Raw genomic sequence first — 22,392 nt, 5'->3', positions numbered from 1 at the left:
TCCAGCTCGCTTGGCCCCTCACCTACCCCTGGGTCTGTGCCCCCAGGTCCTGTTTGCACTGTGCTCCCTGCTGCGCCACTTCCCCTATGCCCAGCGGCAGTTCCTGAAGCTCGGGGGGCTGCAGGTCCTGAGGACCCTGGTGCAGGAGAAGGGCACGGAGGTGCTCGCCGTGCGCGTGGTCACACTGCTCTACGACCTGGTCACGGAGAAGGTGAGTGCCCAGGCCCACCCAGTCTCCTCTTGTTTGCTTTGTGTGTGCTTCTGGGTGGATGGACAGACAGATGGAAGAGACTGCGGACGTCACTTGTTTGCTTTGTGTGTGCTTCTGGATGGATGGACAGACAGACAGTTGGAAGAGATTGGGGACGTCAGGGAGTATGTCATGTGAGATGTGGTGGCTAAGCTGAAACCTGAGGGCTGATGAGGAGTGGGAGGTGGCCCTGCCAGCCATGGTCACGGCCAAGTGTGCAGGCAGAGGGCTCAGTATGAGGCAAGCCTTGGAGCAGCCGAGACCAGGCCCCGAGGGGACAAAAGGCTGAGGGGGTAGAACAGCCCAGAGCTCCTTCGAATGGCACTCACTCTTCGGATTCTAGAAACGTGGAGGTGCCTCCTCTGTGAGCTTTGGCTCTGGGCAGGGCCTCAGAGTGGCTGCCCTTGAGAGTCTCAGGGACCCAATTGCTTGCCACTTGGGAGGAGACTTGGTGCCCAGCCCTGTTTGCAAGCTTGAAGAAGCATCTTAATTAAGGAGGAGAGAGGAAAACCAGCCAGGCCTGGATTCTTAATTCAGCTACTGCAGAGAGCATTGGCAGGGCTTCCTCAGTTGCCTCTCTCGGGCCACACGCTCCCCAGAAGAGCCGCATGCCGACTAGTGGAGCAGGGCTGGGCAGCCGCTGGAACTGCTGCCGAATGGTGGAGGCTGGGCCCCTCACTCCCTCTGCACACGCCTCCCCCAGGCCTTCTCTCCCAGGCAGTGTCGGGATGGCTGTGGCCACCTCTGTCCATCACTGTCTCTCCCCAACTCTCTGTCTTTGCCTGTTTCTCTCTCTTCTCTTGTTAAAGCTGCAGAAATCCAGTTTCTTAGAACAGCAGGCAGCCATGTGGTGCTCAGATCCAATTGATAAGGCCTGGGCACAGTTCAGGTTCTGGGACTGGGCCAGTGAGCCTGGAGAAGGACATGTCAGCTGGCTGGGCATTTCCCAGGGAAACTGGGCTCTGTTCTCTGGTGTCTTGGGTGTGTGTCCCTGCTGCCCCCAGCCCTGGCATCCTGGGCACTATGGCACTGACACATTGCTAGCACACTACCACCAGGCAGGCTCACCAAGGCTGCCCCGAGGCTGCCGGCCCCGGGAGCCTGCCTCTGGAAGCTTTGGGGTGCTGACATGATTGGGGAGGGGAGGACTGGCATCTCTCTACAAACAGTACAGAAATGGCCCTCTTCTTTCAGGGAGGACAGCAGATAAATTTCAGCCAGAGAGATTTAGGACACACTGTACTTGGGCTGAGGCAGTCAGGGCTTCTCTGTTCTTGTGATTTCTTTTTTCTTTTTTCTTTTCTTTTCTTTTTTCTTTTTTTTTTTTTTTTTTGAGACAGGGTCTCTCTCTGTCACCCAGTGGCACGATCTTGGCTCACTGTAAACTCTGCCTCCCAGACTCAAGTGATCCTCCCACCTCAGCCCCCTGAGTAGCTGGGACTACAGGTCCATGCCACCATGCCTGGTTAATTTTGTTCGTTTTTTGTAGACAGGGTCTCACTATGTTGCTCAGGCTGGTCTTGAACTCCTGGGCTCAAGCAGTCCTGCCTCAGCTTCCCAAAGTATTGGAATTATAGGCGTGAGTCACTAAGTCCAGCCTCTTGCAGCGCTTAAGAATGAAGACCTAGCCAAGCTAGGGGTGGGTCCAGAGCTGCCTGAAGGTGGAGGGACATGAGCTGTCCACCACGATGGAGGGGTGCCATGCAGCTCGGGGATCACTGCAGCATGTTGTCATGACAGCCAAGGACTGTGGAATTCCCATGGGCAATGTGACACCCCCATCAGGGTGCTGGGGTCTGCCAGGCCCCAGGCAGTCCTCATATGTACCTTGGCCTGTGAGAGGACCTCTACTGAGAGACCATGCCCTGACATCTGGGCTTCTGCAGTGGTGAGATGCCTGCCTGGGGTTTGGATTCCATGGCCTCTGGTGCATCTGAGGAGCTGAAGGGCCGCAGGGGGACCCTGCCTGCCTGTGCTGCCTGCTGTGCCGGGTGCTGGGAAAATAATCCGCAGTCCCTGTCGTCCCTGAGCTTTCAGGCAGATGTTTATCAGAGAATTCCCCTGAGCTTGTGTTGTAGTCTGTCTGCTGCTGCTTTAACAGAATACCCGGGACTGGATAATATAAAGAAAAGGCAGTTTTTGGCTCATGATTCGGGAGGCTGGGAAATCCACGATTGGGTGGGTGCATCTGGCGGGAGCCTTTGTGTTGCATGACAACATTGTGGAAGGTGAGAGGGCAAGAGCACTTGCGGAAAAAAGCATGCTGGGCCGGGCTTGCTCTCTAGAATAACAACCGCTCTCCCGTAAGGAACCCGCTGCCCTCCTGACCTAGGCAGCTCCTCTCAATACTGCTGCCTTGGGAATTAAGCTTCCAACACTTGAACTTTTAGGGAACACACTCAAACCACAGCAGCATATAAGCAGAGAAGGCCAGTCAGGGGAGGCCGGTCAGTGGCGGTGAGGTGTGCAGGGAGCCGTGGAGTGAATGGGGCCAATGCGGGGGTGCACCTGGAAGTCGGAGCTGCGCCTCCAGAGGCCCCAGGGGAGAGTTAGAGTGACAGGAGTGGGTGTGAGTGGGTCCAGGCCGCGCACAGTGGGGGCAGAGCCTGCAGAGCCTCGCAGTCCCAGGGAAGGGATTGATTTTGTCTTTATCACCCGCAATGCCAGGCTGTGAGGGTTTGGGGGCTGGAGGAGAGGGTGAGAGCAGGAGGCACTGGATCGCAGGACACAAGGGACAAAGGTGGAGCTGACAGAATTGGGGTGTGTTTTGGAAGCGAAGCTGGCAGGACTGAGGGGTGAAGTAGGAAAGGACTAGGGGATACCTCTCAGCCTCTCCTGTCCCAGGATGCAGGATTGCACCCCTCCTCAGTTTCCTCTGCCAGCCCCAATCAGCCCCACGACTTCCTGCTGCCGCAGGAAGCACAGGTGGTCCACTGTGGCCTCCTCTTCTCCTGGGCTTCCCTCTTGCCTTGTGCATCTTCCCTGTGCTTCATTCTCCCCTGGAGTTAGGGCAGGCATTCCTTCTTTCTCCATACAGGCACACTTCCTACAGCTGCACGGGAGATCTCTGCCCCCTCCCAACCCTCTACCTCTGACCTTCAGGTAACCTGCCTGCTTGTCATGGTTCAGGTGTTGGCTTTCCCGCTGCTGGTAGCCCGGCAGGATTGGCTCCCACCATGTTCTGCTGATAGAGCTGGGCTTCTGCGCTTTACAGACAGGCTGAGTTTCTCCACTTAGGAGGTGATGACGATGAGTCTCAGGGAGGCTAAGTGCCAGCCATGGTCATTCAGCAAGTCAGTGGTGGAGCAGGAATTTGAAGCCAGCCTGTCTGCCTCCATGCTGCACTGTTAGATTACATTTATGCTATTTGGGAATTAGTTAATTTTTATTCTCCTGCTAGACCTTAAGCTCCTTGAGGGTAAGACTATGTCTCCATCGTGGTTTCTTCAGCACCTGGCACCACACAAGTGTTTCTGTTGGTGGATGAATGAATGAATAGACAGACAGACTTGGGGATAGAGGAAGAGGTGGGCCCTCAGGGGTCAGCCTCGTGCCTTCCTGTCTGAAGGGCAGAGCTAGCCAGGTGTGAGCTAACTGCTCCCTGTGTGTTCTCTCCCCACCCCCACCCTACCTGGCCTGCGGCTGTGGCGGATGGCAGATGTTCGCCGAGGAGGAGGCTGAGCTGACCCAGGAGATGTCCCCAGAGAAGCTGCAGCAGTATCGCCAGGTACACCTCCTGCCAGGCCTGTGGGAACAGGGCTGGTGCGAGATCACGGCCCACCTCCTGGCGCTGCCCGAGCATGATGCCCGTGAGAAGGTGCTGCAGACACTGGGCGTCCTCCTGACCACCTGCCGGGACCGCTACCGTCAGGACCCCCAGCTCGGCAGGACACTGGCCAGCCTGCAGGCTGAGTACCAGGTGCTGGCCAGCCTGGAGCTGCAGGATGGTGAGGACGAGGGCTACTTCCAGGAGCTGCTGGGCTCTGTCAACAGCTTGCTGAAGGAGCTGAGATGAGGCCCCACACCAGGACTGGACTGGGATGCCGCTAGTGAGGCTGAGGGGTGCCAGCGTGGGTGGGCTTCTCAGGCAGGAGGACATCTTGGCAGTGCTGGCTTGGCCATTAAATGGAAACCTGAAGGCCATCCTCTTTCTGCTGTGTGTCTGTGTAGACTGGGCACAGCCCTGTGGCCGGGGGGTCAGGTGAGTGGTTGGGTGATGGGCTCTGCTGACGTGCAGGGCTCAGCCCAGGGCATCCAGGAACAGGCTCCAGGGCAGGAACCTGGGCCCAGGAGTTGCAAGTCTCTGCTTCTTACCAAGCAGCAGCTCTGTACCTTGGGAAGTCGCTTAATTGCTCTGAGCTTGTTTCCTCATCTGTCAGGAGTGCCATTAAAGGAGAAAAATCACGTAGAAAGCTTCACACTAGTGCTGGCACCCCCCAGCTGTGAGGTAAGGCAGGGAATCATCTCACTGCCCCTCTATCGGTGCCCACATAACAGCCTCAAGGCCGCTGACCTGGCCGGCGCCTGAGGCCTGTCCATACACTGGTGCTGTGGTGACCCAGGCAGCTGATGGGCTTGACAGCTGCTGGAGTGATGGGTGCTGGAGCAATGGGTGCCGGGGTGGGGTGCTGAGAGGTGCTGGACTCTGGAGGCCCAGGGGCCAGGCCTTACTCTGGGAGAAAGCTGGCAGTGGGAGCCCAGGGGAGCCCAGGCCTGCCTGGCCCACCTGACAGGGGAGAAGTGCCTCTCTGTGGCCTTGCACCACTTCTGTGTCCAAGCAGAAACAGGGCCAAGCCCAAGGAGGAGGCCTCAGAGCTGGGAGCAGCCGTGCCTGGCGAGTCCCGGCCCCTACCCAGGCTGGCGGAGTCCCGGGCTGGAGCTGGCTGCAGGTTGCCATGGCAACCCGGGCTCTGGGCTTTTCAGACTCGGATTCTGGTGTGTTTGTTTCTCAGCTTTCCCAGTGCACCAGAGGCTTGCTCTTGCGGGCCCAGGCAGCCCCTCCGGCCCCCAGGTGGTAAAGTCGGGAGGGCCAGTCTGGGGCAGGACTCTCCTCTCCCTGGCTCTAGGCCTCACTTGTAGAAATCTCAGTTTTACTGAGCTGAGGGCAAATTGAGGCCCAGAAAAACATGGGGTCAGTAGTTGGCCTTCCCTGCAGTCCCTTTGCTTGGCCACCTGGCTCTTCTCCTCAGCCCCTCTCCTGCTCGCCTCTTGCCGCAACACGACACGCAGGAAGCTCGGAGCAGAGCCACGGCCTGCACGGAGCCCCTCCCAGCAGGGCAGGCTGGAGGCAGGAGTCCAGGCTGATGCTGGAGTAACAGCTTCCCCAGGGCGGGAGGCCTCAGGGCTAGGGCAGAGTGGGGAACAGACTCGCAGTCTGCCAGCCATTGGGTACCTGCTGCCTTTACAGCCTCGCAGGAGTCTTCGAAGTAGATTTTACAGATGAGGAAATCATGGCTCAGAGAGGCCAAGTGATCTGCCTGTGGGGGCAGCAGTGGGCCTGCGGTGCTGATGGTGCTGTGGGAGGCTTGAATGGGAGGCCAAGAAGGGGACGATGTTGAACTGACAGGCAGCGGAGGGAGGACCACGAGAAATGGCCGGGCATGTGTGGCCACAACAGGGCAGGCAGGTTTCAGACAGGAGGTGCCAGCGCCTGGATGAGGCCAAGGTCAAGGGGTGCTTTAGAGGTAGTGTTGGAAGATCTAGCGTAGACTTGAGAAAGGGGCAAGGTGAGGTTTGATGGGGAGAGGGGCTGCCTCAGCAGAGGCTTGGAAGACAGGAGGACTTGGGGCTGGGCTGGGGATGAATCTATTCTAGGCTTTCAGCATTCAGAGGTGAGCACCAAGGCTGGACAGTGGGAACAGTGGACAGGCGAGAGTGTGGGGCCTTGTGGGGAGGCCAGGCCGGGCGCTCGGCTGTGTCAGGACCAGGCTGGCCCTGGAGGCCTCTGTGACCACCAGGGTCTGGCCCGGGGTGTGGAAAGCGTCCCTATGGGAGGAGTGCCACTAGTAGGGGCCTAACTGCAGTCCCCAGTGTCCCCTCTGCCCCCAGGTGTGCTGCCCTCAGCAGCGATTCTGTAAAGCAGAGGGAGGCTTTGGGCCAGGTGCTCTTGAGAGGATTTCTGGGAGCGAGGATGGAGGAACGGGCACCTGGGGGCTGTAGGGAGGGGGCTGGACCAGCGCCAGGCTGCTGAGCCCGAGGCCTGGGAGGTGGGACTGCGTGCACTCTGCCCTCACACACTCAGAGCATCGGAATGGGAGTTGGGCTGCAGTCTCTCTCCTCATTGGCCGCATCCAGGTTCGTTCTGGACTGTTAAGCAGACCCTCCAGGGAGAGGGTGGCGAGGCGCCCCAGGGTCTGGGCTTGGGCTGCTTGGGGGTGGGTTCTGGCTCCGCCTCCTGATTCATCGCGGCTTGTTGTCTGCAGGTCAGGAAGGAACCCCTTCTCTGCCTTCCCTTTGGCTGCCATCCTGGGAACTGTGGTCAAGGAGTGTGACCGGGGCTCGAAGTGAGGCAGGGAGTGGTGACGGGGGAGGTGGGACTTCCTCCTGTGGGGCTGGAGCCTGCTTTCCTGTCCTCACTGTCTTGGGATGGGCTGAGAGGTGTGCTGGGCTGACACCCACAGGCCCTCAGTGATTATTGGGTCCCTGCTCCTGGGCTGGGCTGACCCGGGCCCTAGTGTGGGAGGATGGCAGGGAGGGTGGTGGGCCTAGGTCCTCACCCCATCCCTCAGCAGCTGTGGTTTTATGAGTTCACTTGTTCATTCATTATTTCATTCACACTGTGGCTGTTGAGCAGTCGTGTGTGTCAGGCAGTTGGAGCTGAGAAGTCTGCTGAGCTGGGTGAAGCCAAGGAAAGGCCTCCCAGAGCTGGTGATGGCCAGGCTAAGCCCTGCAGGCTGCAGGAGTAGCAGTCAGGGATGGGCAGTTGGAAGGGCCAGTCTGGGGCAGGCAGGGCAAGGGCTCTGGCCCTGGGAAGATACAGGAAGGCCAGAGAGTGGCCATTTGCAGAATCCACAATTTCGGGTCCTCCGGCAGCTTGTCAGCCCTGCCAAGGGCTGTGCCCTCATCCTAGCAGGTGTTCTCTGGGCTGCTGCTTATTCATTCATTTGTTCAACAAATCTGGTTGGGTACTACGAGCCAGGCACTGTTCTAGGGCAGGAAGTGGTAGGACAGGAGGGGAGAGGGCTGGACCATGATAAATACACATGCTTCAGGGGAGGGCCAGGCAAGGAAGACAGAGCCCAGTGGGAAGGGAAGAGGGGTAGGCACTGCTGTTTCCCCTCAGTGGTGGGGAAGGCCTCTGAGGAGGGGCCAGGCACAGGAGCGCAGCAGTGAGCCATGGGGGTGCTTTGTAGACAAGGGGATAGCAGAGGCAAAGGTCCTGCAGGAACAGGCCAAAGCACTTCAGGAAAAGCCATGAGAACCAGGCCTGGAGCAGGCAGAGACCGAGGGAGGAGTTGCAAGGGAGGGCCGCCTGGGGAGGCTGTGGAAGGGACCTGGGATTTTCTTTGAGGTGGGGCTGTTGAGAGTTGGGTGCAGAGGAGAGACCTGATGTAACCCACCTTTTTCTTTTTGAGACAGGGTCTTGTTCTGTCACTCAGGCTAGAATGCAGTGGTGTGACCATGGCTCACTGCAGCCTTGACCTGCTAGGCTCAAGTGGTCCTCCCACCTCAGCCTCCAAAGTAGCTGGGACCACAGGTGCAAGCTGTCACGCCCAGCTAATTTTTTTCATTTTTTTGTAGAGGTCTCCCTATGTTTTCCAGGCTTGTCTTGAGCTCCTGGGCTCAAGCGATCCTGCTGCCTCAACCTCCCAAAGTGCTGGGATTACAGGTGTGAGCCCCTGTGCCCGGCCTCACCTTTTCTTACTGTTGTGGTGAGAATAGATGACACAGGGGCCAGGAGGGGCAGGGAGCCCAGGGCAGCATCCAGGGGGCAGCTGGACAAGGATGTGGGGCAGGGTGAAGACATAGGACTGTGAGAAGTGTGCAGACTCCAGATGGGGCTGAGGCAGAGCTCAGGGCTCTGCTGGCGGGATGCAGGGTGTGGGGAGAGGAGTCGAGGGGATGGAGCAGATGGGCGTGGGGAGGAGCTGGTACCAGAGTGGGAGCTTGGAGAACAGGGGAGTGACTGGGGCTCTGAGGTGGACCCTGTTGATGTTTATATGGAGATGTCAGCAGGACATCCAGGTGGGGGTGCTGACAGGCAGCAGCAGACAGCCTGGAGCTGAGAGAGAGGCTGGGTGGGGGATACTGACCAGGCCTGGGAACCTCACACAAGGGAGCCGCAGGGTTCAGAATGTGGCCAGCTGGTTGTTAAACACAGCCATTATTAAAACTAAATGATGCAAGTGTACAATTAAGTAACACCAAGAAAGCAAAGGTAATTTTTAAAAACTAGTAAAAGAAGAGCAAATTAAAACCAAAGGAAGCAGAAGAAAAGGAAATAATAAAGAGTGGAAACCAATAAAATTGAAGACAGTAAAACTAAAGAAAATCAATGAAATTAAAAGATGGTCCTTTGAAAAAGAGAGAAGACATAAATCAGCAGCCTCACGGATGAAAACGGGGTGTCACTATAGGCTCTACGAGCATTAAAGGATAGTGAGTAGTGAGTATTATGAACAACTCTAAATAAATACATTGTAAAATCAATTTGACAACTTAGAAGAAATCATGGACCAATTCCTTGAGAAACACGGCCTCTCACTGTATTAGCTTTCTATTGCTGCTATGCTAACAAATTACCATGAGCTTTATGCCTTAAAACATTCCCAGTCAATTTTCTTACAGTGCTGTAGGTTAGAAGTCTGGCCCAGTTCTCATGGGGCAAAAATCCAAGTGTCGCAGGGCTGTACTCCTTTCTGGGTGGGGTCCATCCCTTGCCTTTCCCAGCTGCTAGGGGCTGTCTGTATTCCTTGGCTCCTAGACCTTCCTCTGTCTTCAAAGCCAAAAAAGGAAGTCAAGGTCTTCTCATATTGCACCATTCTGACCTCCTCTTCTGCCTCCATCTTCCATTTTTAAGGACCCTGTGATTACAGTGGGCCCACCTGGATGATCCAGGATAATCTTCCTATCTGAAAATCAGCCAATTAGCAACCTCAGTTCCATCTGCAACCTGGATTCGCTTTCTGCCATGTAACATAACATGCGCAGGCCCAGGGATTAGGATGTGGGCATCTCTGGAAGCCATTATTCTGCCTAACACAAGCTGCTGAAACCCACTCAACAATAGATAACCTGTGTAGCCCTACAGGTACTAAAGAAATGGAATTTACTGTTTAAAACCCTTCCACAGAGAAAACTCCAGACCTATGTGGTTTCACTAGCAAATTCTACCAACTAATACCAATTTTATACAGTCTCCTCCAGAAAATAGAAGAAAACATTTCCAAACTCATTTCATGAGGCCAGCATTGCCCTGACACCAATACTAGACAATGATATATCTTTTCTTTTCTTTTCTTTTCTTTTCTTTCTTTTCGACAGAGTCTCACTCTGTTGCTCAGGCAGGAGTGCAGTGGCACGGTCTCGGCTCACTGCAACTTCCACCTCCCAGGTTCAAGTGATTCTCCTGCCTCAGCCTCCCGAGTAGCTGGGATTACAGGCACCTGCCACCATGCCTGGCTAATTTTTTGTATTTTTAGTAGAGATGGGGTTTCACCATGTTGGCCAGGCTGTCTCGAACTCCTGACCTTGTGATCTGCCTGCCTCGGCCTCCCAAAGTGCTGGGATTATAGGCGTGAGCCATCGTGCCCGGCCTGACAATGATATTTCAAGAAAAATATCCTACAGGCTAATATCCCGTCATCAACAAGATTAGGGAGGTAATGGCGACAGGAGATCCTGTAGGCTATGGCAAAGACTTTAGATTTTTCTGAAGTCTCTACAAAAATCCTCAACAAAATATTGGCAAATTGAATGCAACAATATGTAAAAGGATAATATAACCAAATGGAGTGTACCCTGGGAATGCAAGGCTAGTTCAATTAGTTCACCATATTAACAGACTAAAGAAGAAAAGGCCACACCATCATCTCAACAGATATAGACAAATATTAAGCAGCCATAATAAAAACTCTCAGCAAATTGGAACAGAAGGGAATTTCCTTAACCTCATGAACAGAAACCACATAAAAACCTACATCTAACATCAAACTTAAGGGTGAAAGGCTGAATTCCTTCCCCCTCAGATTGTAAAACAGGCAAGAATGCCCACTCTCCTGACTCCTTTTCAACATTGTACTAAAAGTTCTGGGCACTGCCTTAAGGCAAGAAAATGAAATAGCATACAGATTGAAAAAGAAGAAATAAAATTGTCCCTATTCACAGATGACATGAGTGTCAATGTAGAAAATCCCATGGCATCTGTAAAAACAATTTCACAGAACTAGCTAATGACTTTAGCAAGGTCATAGGATACAAAGTCAGTGTATAAAAATCAACTGAAAAGTGAAATATGTGCAGGATTTTATGCTGAAAATTATGAAATACTGATGAAGTAAATCACAGAAGATCTAAGCACATGGACAGACCTACTGAGTTCATTCATGGGTTGGAAGACTCAACATTGTTAAATGATGTCAGTCCCCACAAAATTGATCTCTAGATTCAATGCAGTCCCCGTAGGAATTCTTTAGGTATCAGGAGTCTTATTTGAAAACTTACATGGAAATGCAAAGAACAAGAATAAGAATAGCTAAAACAATTTTGAAAAAGAAGAACCAAGTTGGAGGGCTAACACTTGCTGATTTTAAGATATAAACCTGTAATACCACAGTGTGGCATTGGCCAGACCCACACAGATATAGTTAATTGATTTTTGACAAACATGCAAAGGCAGTTCAGTGGAGAAAAGACTGTCTTTTCAATAAATGGTACTGCAGTCATTAGACAGTTTTTTTTTTTTTTTTTAGAGTCTTGCTGTGCCACCCAGGCTAGAGTGCAGTGGTGCAATCTTGGCTCACTGCAACCTCTGCCTCCCAGGCTCAAGTAATCCTCCTGCCTCAGCCTCCCAAGTAGCTGGGACTACAGGCATCGAATCTTTTTGCCTAATTTTTCGTTTGGTTGACTGTTTTCTTAATGAATTTTGAGGGTTCTGTTCATTTTCTGGATACAAGTCCTTTGTCAGATATGTGATTTACAAATATGTTCTGTTTGTAAGTTTTTATTCTTTTAACAATTTCACAGAGGTTTTTATTTTAATGAAGTCTAATTTATCCATTTTTAAATTTTATGAATGGTGACTTTGATGTTGTCTCTAAGAACTCTGCCTAACTCTAAAGTCACAAAGATTTCTCTTCTGTCTTCTTCTAAGAGTTTTATAATTTTACATTTAGGTCTCTGATTTTGAGTTAAATTTTGTATAAGATGTGAGGTACTGTAAATAGGTCAAGGCTCATTTTAAAAAATATGTTGAGGTCGGGTGTGGTGGCTCATGCCTGTAATCCCAACACTTTGGGAGGCTGAGGTGGGTGGGTCACCTGAGGTCAGGAGTTCCAGAGGAGCCTGGCTAACATGGCAACAGAATGAGACTGTCTCAAAAAACAAAAAAATCAGTGTTCATGTGAAAACCTGTGCGTCAATGCTTATATCAACTTTATTTGTAAAAAATAAAAATAAAAAACTGGAAACAACTCAAATGTCTCTTATCTGGGGGATGTATAAACAAACTGTGATGCACCCTTACAACGGAATACAACTCTGCAGTAAGGAACGAGCCACCGATGCACACAGCAATCTGCGTGCATTTTGAAGCCGCACTGATTGAAATGCACTGCGCCATATGCAGCCAGACCCAAAAGGCCACGTACTGTATTACTGCACTTATGTACGTTCTGGAAAAGGCAAAATGATAGGGAAGGTGTTGCCAGGACTTAGGATTGGGGACTGTTTTGATGATACTGGGATAGCACAGGGGAATCCTGGGGGAAGGGTGACTGTTCCATCTTCCTTGTGGTGGTGGTTACAGGACTGCGTTTGTCAAAACTCATGGAATTACACACCAGAAAGAGCAGATTTCACTGTGTGTAAATTTTCACCTAAGTTATAATAGCAACTCATCCTTTCCTAATGACATTTTACCACAATCGGTCCAATTGTCTGGGTGATAGAAGGATGCATCACGGCGCGCTCCTGGGCTTCTCTAACCAACTCCACGTTTTCGCACTGCCAGCCCGTGGCTCGAAATCTGATGTGGTGGGAGCATTTACCCATGGAAATTGGGAAACGCTACAGATCAAAGGTGAATTTGTTATGTTAATAATGCCAATTAAATGTAAATGTGTGTTATCTATAGCAGTTACATCGTCAGTAGCACAAAAAAAAATGGAAGAAATTGTCAAAGTAGTTAACAACTATTATCTGACTCAGCAAGGAAGTCACTCACTGACAAAGTGAAAGTCCAACATAGGTTTTTGTTGTTTCACTTTCATTTATTCCTTAAGGTAAACACAAATATCAAGCAGCATTCCTGTTGGAACTAGTCTCGTTTGTCAGTTACAACCATAGGTTGGCCGTGGATGCAAGAGTCTGGCAAAAATCAATGAAAGCCTTCTGTGGGAATCAGCTGGCTGGCTGGGATTCCCAGTTAGAGTCCTGTACGTCTCCTTTTGTGAATGGTGTGCTGCAATTCCTTTATAGCGGTCCCGTGTTTTCTAAATGCACAGATGTGCATCTGTTCGCATCCTCCCTGGCCTGGCCCTAGAGAGCCGGTGGCTCAACATTGACCAGCAAGCCCCTGCTGGGTGTCACTGAACATGGAGAGGAGGCTCCAGATGGGAGCCCTGGAGCACCTCAATGTCAGGGGCCACGAGGAGAAGGAGCTGGTAAGGGAGACGAGGGACACGCATTGGTGACGGGCAGGGAACCGTGGGAATCGACAAGGTGTGAGAGGGAGGGAGTGGCCACTGGCATCACCATTACTCAGAGGGTCCAGGAGGGATGGCCCAAAGCTGGGGGCCCTGGAGGAAGTGCCTCTCAAAGCCGGGTGGCGGGGCCAGCCACTTGCCGCAGTGTGACTTCACCTCCCCTAGTCACTTCTTCAGCTGTGCAGCTGGAGATGCAGCAATGGCACTGACATCTCGGGTCGCACAGATGAAATGGGGTGACGAGAGTAAAGGCTGGACACAGGCTCTGAGGTGCCCAGCACGTGGCAGCTCCTTCTCTCTTGCTTCCGTGGGGAGGGGAGGAGGCCTTGTCCTGGGAGGAGGGTGGAAGAGGTTGGGGCTGGAAGCTGTGAGGATGAAGGCTGCAGAGTGAACTGTGGCCTTTGAAGGTGTTGCACAGGAGACACGGGAACCCCTGCAGGGCACTAAGCAGGCAGGGACCAGGACAGAGCCATCCTGGGAGAGGCATGGGTGCTGCTAGCCACAGGAGAGCAGGGGCTGTGTGCTGAGTGCAGGGAGTAGGGAGCAGGTCTGAGGGGTCACCAACGCAGGGTGACAGGCTGGGGAGGCACAGTGGGGTGGAGGGATCTGGGACTCGGCTTTGGTCCTTGGCTCTGTTCCCCCAACCCTCCTCTGATGAGGCATCAACAAGACTGCTGAGAGCAGGGGCCCGTCCTGGATGCGAAATCTCGGGATGCAGAGGGGAGGCAGTCCCCTTTGCAGATGGCACAGGGGCAGGAGCGAGCATAAAGGAGGCTGCAGGAAGGCCCCAAAGGCCCCGCACGCACAGGCAGTTCCCCTCCTGCTTGGCCCAGCTCTGTCGTGGTCTGTGAGGTGAGAGGAGGGGTCAGGACTTCGGGGCAGGGCCTCTGAGCCTCAGCCTCGGCTCTCCAGGCCCCTGGTGCCTTCTCATTTGCCAGCTTTTTGCCCTCTAACACCTTCTGATGGGTTGGTTTAAATCAATAATGGTCCACATTGTTCAACTACTATCTATCGAGCACATGCCAACAAGCCCTTTGCCTCTGATGAGGATGAGCAGAGCCAACACTGGCTATTCCCCATAGGTCAGTCCAGTGAGGGCTGGTGCCTGCGGTGCTGTGAGCCTTGGCAGAGGATGGAGGAGCCCAGGGAGCAAGGGATGGTGTGGGCTGCTTTCCCACTGAGGCACAAGGGAAGATGTTAAGAGATACATAAATGGACATTGGACTTTTTTTTTTTTTTTTTTTTTTTTTTAAGAGAGACAAAGTTTTGCCATGTTGCCCAGGCAGGTCCTGAACTCCTGGGCTCAAGCGATCCTCCCACCTCGGCCTTCCCGAGTGCTGGGACTACAGGCATGAGCCACCACACTTAGCCTGTCGGAGTCCTTTTGATAATAAGGTGACTTGAGGAGACAGGAAGGAAACACTAAAGCCAGCACAGGGTGTCCCGGGGCAAGTGCATTCCAGGCCAGGAAGCATACGAGGCAGGATGTGCTCGGCATGTTCAAGACTTCAGGGACACCAGGGGCAGATGGAGGATGGCAGAGAATGGTGAGAGGAGGCCAGAGCAGGCAAGAGGCCTTTAGGACTCTGGCTTTTACTGAGGGACATGGACGCCGTTGGAAGGTCTGAGCTCGGAATGACCTGAGCTGACCTGTCTTACAGGGACAACTTGTCTGTGGGGGACACTGGCAGGGAGGCTGGCTGTGGCCACCCACCGCCGGGCACTGGCAACCTCGTCCTTGCCTTCCACAGTGGACCGGCCTTGGTCTGTGTGACCCACAGAATACAGACATGATGGGGAATCACCCTCCATATCAGGTTTTAAGGGAACACCATGGCTTCCATCTGGACGCTGCTCGCAGATACCGCTCTGGGGAAGCCAGCTACTACCAAGCTGTGAGCTGCTCTGTGGAACGGGCCATGTGGCATGGAACTGAGGCCTTCTGTCAATAGCCACGCGAGTGAGTCTGGAAGCAAATCCTCGCCAGGTCAAGCCTTCAGAGACGGCAGCCTTAGCTGGCATCTTGGCCACTTCATGAGACCCCGAGTCACAGCCATCCAGCTGAGCTGCTCCCAGATTCTTGACCTTCAGGAGCCGTGTGAGGTCGCTTTGGCTGCAACTTGCTACACAGCAGTAACAGCAGGATGGCTTAGGCCAGGCGGTAACAGGTAAATTGTGCATACATTTTAAAGATCAGAATTTTGATTTGTCACTAGAAGCCCATTGTGCTACAGATCCACCTCAGAATTTTTATTTTTAGGCATTTGGCAAGAGGAAGGGGGGGAGGGGCAGTGACGTGGGGAAAACGGTATGGAGGGTGTGGGGGTGGGCGGTGGCGAGTAGAGGTGGCAAGCAGTTTGGACAGGTCAAGTCTGAGAGATTCATTAGACATCCGAATGGAGCGTGAGGCGGCAGTCAGTTATAAAAGCCAGGCTCTGGGGAGAAGAAGTCGGCATTTGGATGTCTTTACATGCGAGATTCTGGCTGAGCTCAGGAGAGTGGGCACAGACACAACCTCTCAGCCCCAGGAAAGGAGAAGGAGCCCCCAGTAAGGCAGGCAGAACCTGAGCGGGGTGTCCTGGAAGCCGAGTGAGCAGCGTTCAGGAGTCCTTGTCCTCCTCCTCCTCCCCGCCACGCCCCCAGGCCGCTTGCACAGTGAGGTCTCAAGACAATTGCCAGTGTGGCTGGCAGTGGAAGGCAGTCACCTTGACGAGGGGAGGTGGAGGGAGCAAGGTGACAGCTGACTGTAAGTGAGGAAGGGGAGAAAATGTCAACAAGCTTCTCTTTAGGGAACCTTGCTTAGGGTGGGGATGCCAGCTGGGAAGGATCATGGGGTTAAGGATGGTTTTCATCTCGAAGGCCACTATCAATCAATCATCATAGCTTGGTATGTATGTGTGACGGGAAGGATGCAGAAGGGATATGCTGACAGAAGGACGCAGGAGAGGGGTCAGCTATAATGAAGACAGGGATGCCTCCGAGGTTGACATGAACCTCAAGGAATGGACATGTGAATTCCCAAGGTGGGGGTGCAGGGTGGGGCACTCAATAGGACAACGGGCATGGCCCTCCCTGATGGGTTGGCACGAGCCGTGCAGCCTAGAGCCACAGACAGTTTCCCTCCCGGGCATCCCCATCCTGGAAGAGACGGACACCGGGAGGGCCCAGAGCACCACAGATACTGCGGGCAAATCTATGACTTGAAGGCAGAGAAGACGACTTTGGGCTCTTGGATGTCGTGGTTTCATAGTGGACTTTATTGGGAAAAGTTAGTTAGTGTAAAAAACATTCAAATTAATTCATAAAATTTAAATAAGGTGATAGTAAATTATACCTTGTAGTTAATAGTAATCAATCAATCAATCACTACAGTAATCACAAATAAGGTAAAGTCTAAATTACTGCCTTAGCAAACACTATGTTGTCAGGTTTTTCTGCTGCAAGCCCAAGGCGGGAAACACTGCAGTTATTAGAAGTGAGCCCAATGATGAATTTGCATTTGAAGCTGGGAGAAAGAGGAAAAAAAGTGTGTTCTGATTATGGCATCGAGACACTGTAGCCTAAAAAAGCAACTTTATTAATGTCCTGCAGCAGCGTACATTAGTAATTATAACAATGCATTAAAATTTTCATTTCATGTCATAGAGAATCAGTTTTCTTCATGATACATTATGTTTTACTGAGTGAGTTTGTCCCTCCAGAGACCTTTCTGGGAACATGCCTTCTCCAGGGACTGCTTCCTAAGATGCCCAGGTTGCTTACCACAGGTCATCTTTGGTCATTTAAAAGCAGTCAAGCTGTCTGGACTGCACCCTCTCAACTGAAGTTGAGCCAAATTCCCTTCTCTCAAACCCTAACGCCGCCATCACTAAGAGAATGGGCATCTCGGCTTGGTCAGAGCATTACTAACAAGCTAATGTGGGATTCTCTTTGGTTATGAATTTTTATTTTTATTTAAGCATACAAAAAATACAGCTAGAAGTAGGCTCCTGCATTCTAAAAGCATTTTTAATCAACTTAAACTATGTTCTTGGAAAATTCACCACCTGGACTGGTTCAGTCTGCCCATTTCCCTGTGGAATCTAGTATCAGTGTTGTATTTAGCAAATTCATTTGAGTGACGAACAGTGACTGATATTCAGGAGCCCCGAGGGGTGGGGGCGGCCGGCCTGGGCAGACTTAGATGCTGTCCATAGCTTTGAACTCGCTGAGGGCCTGCACCGGGTTCACGTGCTTCTTCTGAGATGCCCGTTTAATCTTGGTCTGTGTCTCATCCTGTTTCTCTCTCTTCACCAATGGCTTTTTCTCTGGTGCCTTCATCTTCCATGACACAGCAGGAAGGTTGAGGGAAGCCATACCCTGTGACTTTTGGTATTTGGTAGAGGCGACGTAGGATGCCTTCACTGTCTGCACCACAGCATTCATCAAGTTCTTGGCTGCCTGGATCAGGGACATGGCGCTGTCCACCTACGAGGCAGACAGGGGTGGTAAGAAGCACCGGCCTGACCTCCAGCCTCGTGGACACAGGTGGGCTGTGCTTGAAGGGGAGCCCCCTACTCCTCTGCAAGACCAGGGCCTGGGCAGGTCGCAGAGGATTGGGCAGCAGCCTGTTCCTGAAGAACACCCTCAACGGCTGCTCTTATCTAAATAGCCTGGAAGCGCCTGCCCTCAGACCCTTTGGAGAAGACATGAGGCAACCTCGCCTTGCTCACCCCCACCCCTCAGCAAGTGTTTATTCACTCAAACCAACTGGAAGTCACTGTAAGTGATCCCAGAGCTGTAAGCACGTGGGGGAGGAGAAGCAGGAATCGAGACAGGGATGTTTATGGCAAAGCAGATGAGCAAATGGTCTCAATATGTTCAATATAAGAAGTGTTTCTTTTAAAGGAAATTCAGTGGGATTAAGAGAAGCCATGGAGGCTCGGTGGACCCCAATCCACTCAGCAAACCTCTTCTTTCCCCTGCCCTAGGTGAGAAAGGCCTCAGAACTGTGATGTGGTAAAAAGAAAGAGACGCTACCCAAGCACTCTGAGGAGTGAAGGGCTTTTGAGAAAACACCCTATCTATGTCTACTCTTAATTCCTCTCTGGGGGAAGAAAAGGAAGTTTTGTTTTGTTTTGTTGTTTCGTTTTGTTTTGAGACAGTCTTGTTCTGTTGCCCAGACGGGAGTGCAGTGGTGCCATCTCGGCTCACTGCAACCTCCATCTCCCAGGCTCAAGTAATTATTGTGTCTCAGCCTCCCAAGTAGCTGGGACTTACAGGTACCTGCCACCACGCCCGGTCCCAAGGAAGATTTTTAAAAATTCCTACCCAGTGAGTGGCCAGCAAAGGGGAGGAGGCCAGCCTTTCAGCCCTTGCAGTGCCCCGCAGGTGTCACAGTTCTACAGGGAACAGATGATGGACAGACCTTGGTCTCCAGAGACTGGGACAGGACTTGGAGTTTCTGCACAGCACACTTTCCCAGGGCAGGTGTTTATGCGGATAGGAGGTGACTTTCATTTCTGACAAGGGTCAGCACGTTCCCACTGGCCCTCTTTTTGTTCAGCTAATGCTTACCCCAGAGACAACAAGCTCCCCGCCGAGATTCTGCACCTCGGCCTTGACCTTGCTGCAGATGTTCAGCTGGTGGCAGTAGAGGGCGATGCGTTGCAGGTAGGCCAGCAGGTCCTGCTTGCAAGCCGAGTCGGGGCACTGAAGAGAGAGCAGGCTTAACACCAAGTATCCTGGCCTGGCCCAAGCACCCCCGACCCCACGGCTGTTTCTGAAAGGTTCAGTGTGGCACTCACATGCTTCCTCTCCTCTTGCTGGAGCAAAATCACCCAATTACCTGAGGCAGTCACAGCCCTTGCCTACACTCTGCTTGGGGATGGAGGCGGGTGAGCTGATGGAAGTCGTCCATGGGACCCTGACTGCGCCGCATGGCACTGGTTGTATAGCCAAGGCCTTCTGAGCCTCCCACTGACTTCCCTCCTATGACGGCGGGGAAACCACCCTGGCCAAGGATCCCCTCACCCCAAACGGCAGGGTGGAGGCCCATGCCCCTCGAGGTGAGAACAAGCCGGCTCAGCAAGCAGGAGCCTGGCTATGGAGAAAAGTCCAGATGTTTTTAGCTAAGTAAACAAATAGTTAACTCTTCTGCTCTGAGGCACTTTGCGTTATTAATGCCTGATGACAAAAGCCACTCACTGCAGGCTGAGGTGGAAGACAAGTGAGTAAAGTAAAGCAAGAAAAAAAGCAGTTGGGGATGGTCAAAGAGAAAAGGGTGGCCCCTGCCCAGTTCCTGTCTCGCTCCACATCTCAGAGTTTTAGAGGCTCCCAGATTAGGACCAGCCTAGAAAGCTTTACCCAAAGGGAGAAACACAGAGCACCTCTCAAGTGTTTATAGCAAGCAAACATTTTCTTCCAGTGAGGCTGGAGCAAAGTACACCACAGAGAGTGGTATGAACTGAGACCCCGCAGACCATACTGGAGATGAGCTGTATTCTAAGTAGTCATGGAAGCAGGGCAGAGCCATGTGATCTGCATTTTCAGATGACAGTATTGACAGCTGGATGCAGAAGGAAGTGGAGAGAGGAAAGAACAGGAAATCGGGAGCGGCCACAGTAGTCCAAGTGGCTATGGAGATCTGCAGAAAGGACAAGACTGGTTTGTGTCAAGATACATTTGGCCAATGGAAGCAATAGGCCCTATTACCGATTGTGTGGGAGTCAAGGATGCCTTTACAATCTTTGGCTTGTGTAAGGAGGCTTGTGTCTCACACATCCTGTGGCCTAGATGAGGCTGAGAGTTTGGCTATTTCAGGGAAAATGGTGGGGAGGCTTGTTAACTACAGAGAAAAACTGTAACTGAGAAAGAGCTTCTCTTGATCAGGCTTAAAACACCAAATGAAATGTATTGTACAATTTCCAGGCGGTAGGAACCGTATTTTTGTACCTATCAGTGTGAGGGAATAGGGGGATGAAGACGGGGTGGCTGAGAAACACAGTGCTGAGGATGAAGAAACCTGGGCCCATCTAGGCACACCAGCCTTCCACAGCACTGGCCACATGGCTTCTGGCTGCTCTCGGCCCCTGCCCAGAGGGGGAGAGAGGGAACTGAGACATAAGAGACAATAGCAGAGGTTAATTTTGGCTACCAAGCGATGGAAGATTCCAGGACATACACATCCGCTCTAGAGAATCCTTACAAATCTATGCTGGGATTAATAAGAACCATTTTTAGAGATGAGTGGCAAAAGTGCTGTGGCCCATGAAACTTACCCTGAATGGACCAGGCTGGGCTGCCTGAGCCCCAGGAGGAGCTTGGAGACCCACCTGGCAAGTCTGTCACTTACATGGTCTGCAATGGTGCGGCCAAGCTTGTCCATCCTGGATCCTGCCTCAGCAATTTTCTTGGCAGCACTGATGACATCCGATGTATTTTTGAGTGGTCCTTTACCTCTGAGAAGAGGGAAGAGAACAAGGATTATTGTATGTGAAGCCCCTCACAGTTGGAGTAGAAAAAGAAGATTGTCCACAAAGCCCCATGGCCTGGGCTGTCTGAGCCGCTGCGCAGGTGACCTGTGGGGAAGAAAGTAGCCCCTGTGCAGCCTGGTGGGGCCGGGGTGCTGCTCACCGGGTAAAGTCTGTCATCTCCATCATAATCATGCACATCTGCTTGGCCAGCACAATGATGTCATTGCCACTGTCGTCCCATTTGGACACTTCAGCATCCAGCTTGCTCTTTTCTTCCTGGAAGCTGGCCACCTGTTCCGCAATCTTCGCTTTTTGCTCCTGGGGAAGCTGAGCCATGATCGCCTGTGATCAGAAGCACAAAGAGCTCTTACATAAAAAGAATATGAAGTTCTCAGAGTGCATTAGCCAAGAATATTTCCAACAGGCAATCTGTGGCATAGGTAGGATAATGCTTTAATAGGTTTCATTTCGCCTGAAGGGCTATTTCTCTCATTTTTTGCAGAAACTTATGGCAGCCTGAATTTCCGACCCACTTTTGAGCACAAGTTTTAGTGTGGAAGGAAACAGCGAGGGGTGGAAGGCTAATGTGGAAGCTTTGGAATCACACCTGTGCAGGGACAGAACCTGCTTAATTCTTATTAATATAAGACAAGAAATGAGAGAAGGGGTTGATGAAAGTGTGGAGCCCTTTCCCTGGTGGGCCCTGATGGACATTTCCAACTATTCAAGATGAACTGAAAGTGGCTTTAGAATGTACACCTGAAGAAAGAGGGCTGAGAGATACCGCTGGCACTCAGGCCATACTTGAGCAACACCTGGAGGCCTGCTGCCCACCTCCAGCCCACAGACCTACGGCTGGGGAGCTCCTCCCTCTCAGCTTCCCTAAGTGCTCATGACTGAGCAGGACATAAGGCAGGGATGTGCTCGCTGTTCACGACAGATTTCCAAGGAGTGAAATCAAAGACTCCTTAGAAATATTTCTTGGCATCCTCCCCAAAACATAAATGCTATTGATTGAAGATTTAATGACTCAAATGAATGCAATGGCTCTGACTGGCTTTCTTGAATGTACCACTGTTATTTTTTAAACCCATGAATAATTAAATAGTTCATACCCATAGTATCGAGATGGACAAAGGCAGCAATCTTTTTCAAATTTCACGATCCTTTCAACAAACACTGCATTGACTAAATCTTAGCCCTTCCCTGACCCAGGGCTCTATCATAAACTAAAGCTCAGGGCACTGCAGAGGAGGCCCAGGACCTGGTCTGCCTCTAGCTGAGGAGGCTACATTTGACTAGCAGGTGCCACAACTTAGTTTAACTTCAGTCTACTGCCAGAGAGACAGAGAGAGAGAAACGGTGTTCTGAATACTGAGGGTGTTTTCCTGGAAACAAGAAAGGGGACAGGGAAAGTCGGCAGCACAAGCTGAACTGCCCCACGGAGCGCTTCCTTACCCGGGCACTCTGGCCAGCTATCAGCTGATCGTCTTCTGTCTGGACGCTCGTCCTGCTTCTGACATCAAAATCTTCTGTCTCAAAGTCAGAGTCATCCAACTCCTCAGGGGTCTGCCACCCAGACAAAGATCACAGGTCAGACACATCTCTGGGCCACCAGCCCCCAGCCACCCTGAGCCTCTTGGCCAGGTGCACGGAGGCCCAGAATTCTGGATTTTAATGTGCAGTGTTCTGAACAGTATGGTGAATAAAGTCAAAATCACTCAGCATTTGTCTCGAGCCTCTGCTTCACTGGTGCACACGCTGGGCTGCCTGGCCCACAGCAGGCCTGGGCTGGTTTCACTGTGTGTGGGGCTCAATTGCTATC

General features: G+C 52.1%; 2 protein-coding genes across 42 annotated transcripts in view, besides 2 other annotated features; one reads left to right on the top strand and one right to left on the bottom strand.

The window, feature by feature from the left end:
* SIL1 (SIL1 nucleotide exchange factor) overlaps nt 1-4,658 on the top strand; it is a 251,645-nt gene extending 246,987 nt beyond the window's left edge. For all 5 annotated transcript variants that reach the window (NM_022464.5, NM_001037633.2, XM_011543570.3 and 2 more), the window contains 2 exons: nt 47-211; nt 3,909-4,658. In NM_022464.5, the coding sequence (NP_071909.1) occupies nt 47-211; nt 3,909-4,265 (522 nt within the window). In that variant the 3' untranslated portion in view covers nt 4,266-4,658. The remainder of the gene's footprint in view (nt 1-46; nt 212-3,908) is intronic.
* Nucleotides 1,669-2,533: an enhancer, noted in NCBI's record as "H3K4me1 hESC enhancer chr5:138284538-138285402 (GRCh37/hg19 assembly coordinates)". NCBI's record gives its function as "activates a minimal SCP1, AML or CMV promoter by ChIP-STARR-seq in naive H9 embryonic stem cells {active_cell/tissue: H9 hESC(naive)}" and the evidence as "EXISTENCE:reporter gene assay evidence [ECO:0000049][PMID:30033119]".
* Nucleotides 6,973-7,185: a silencer, noted in NCBI's record as "fragment chr5:138279886-138280098 (GRCh37/hg19 assembly coordinates)". NCBI's record gives its function as "represses an EF-1alpha promoter that drives an FKBP-Casp9 reporter gene in an ReSE screen in K562 erythroleukemia cells {active_cell/tissue: K562}" and the evidence as "EXISTENCE:reporter gene assay evidence [ECO:0000049][PMID:32094911]".
* CTNNA1 (catenin alpha 1) overlaps nt 16,348-22,392 on the bottom strand; it is a 181,610-nt gene continuing 175,565 nt past the window's right edge. For 30 of the 37 annotated variants that reach the window (NM_001323982.2, NM_001323984.2, NM_001903.5 and 27 more), the window contains 5 exons: nt 22,026-22,136; nt 20,728-20,909; nt 20,447-20,552; nt 18,670-18,804; nt 16,348-17,580 (listed from right to left, as the gene is read on the bottom strand). In NM_001323982.2, coding sequence (NP_001310911.1) covers nt 17,293-17,580; nt 18,670-18,804; nt 20,447-20,552; nt 20,728-20,909; nt 22,026-22,136 — 822 coding nt within the window. In that variant the 3' untranslated portion in view covers nt 16,348-17,292. Of the gene's footprint in view, nt 17,581-18,423; nt 18,495-18,669; nt 18,805-20,446; nt 20,553-20,727; nt 20,910-22,025; nt 22,137-22,392 lie in introns of all 37 variants that reach the window. The other 7 variants (NM_001290307.3, NM_001324005.1, NM_001324003.1 and 4 more) reach the window with 3 other exon arrangements.

This window comes from Homo sapiens, chromosome 5 (genome assembly GCF_000001405.40).
Source record: "Homo sapiens chromosome 5, GRCh38.p14 Primary Assembly".
Lineage (NCBI taxonomy): Eukaryota > Metazoa > Chordata > Mammalia > Primates > Hominidae > Homo > Homo sapiens.
This window is presented reverse-complemented; position numbering and strand designations above follow the sequence as displayed.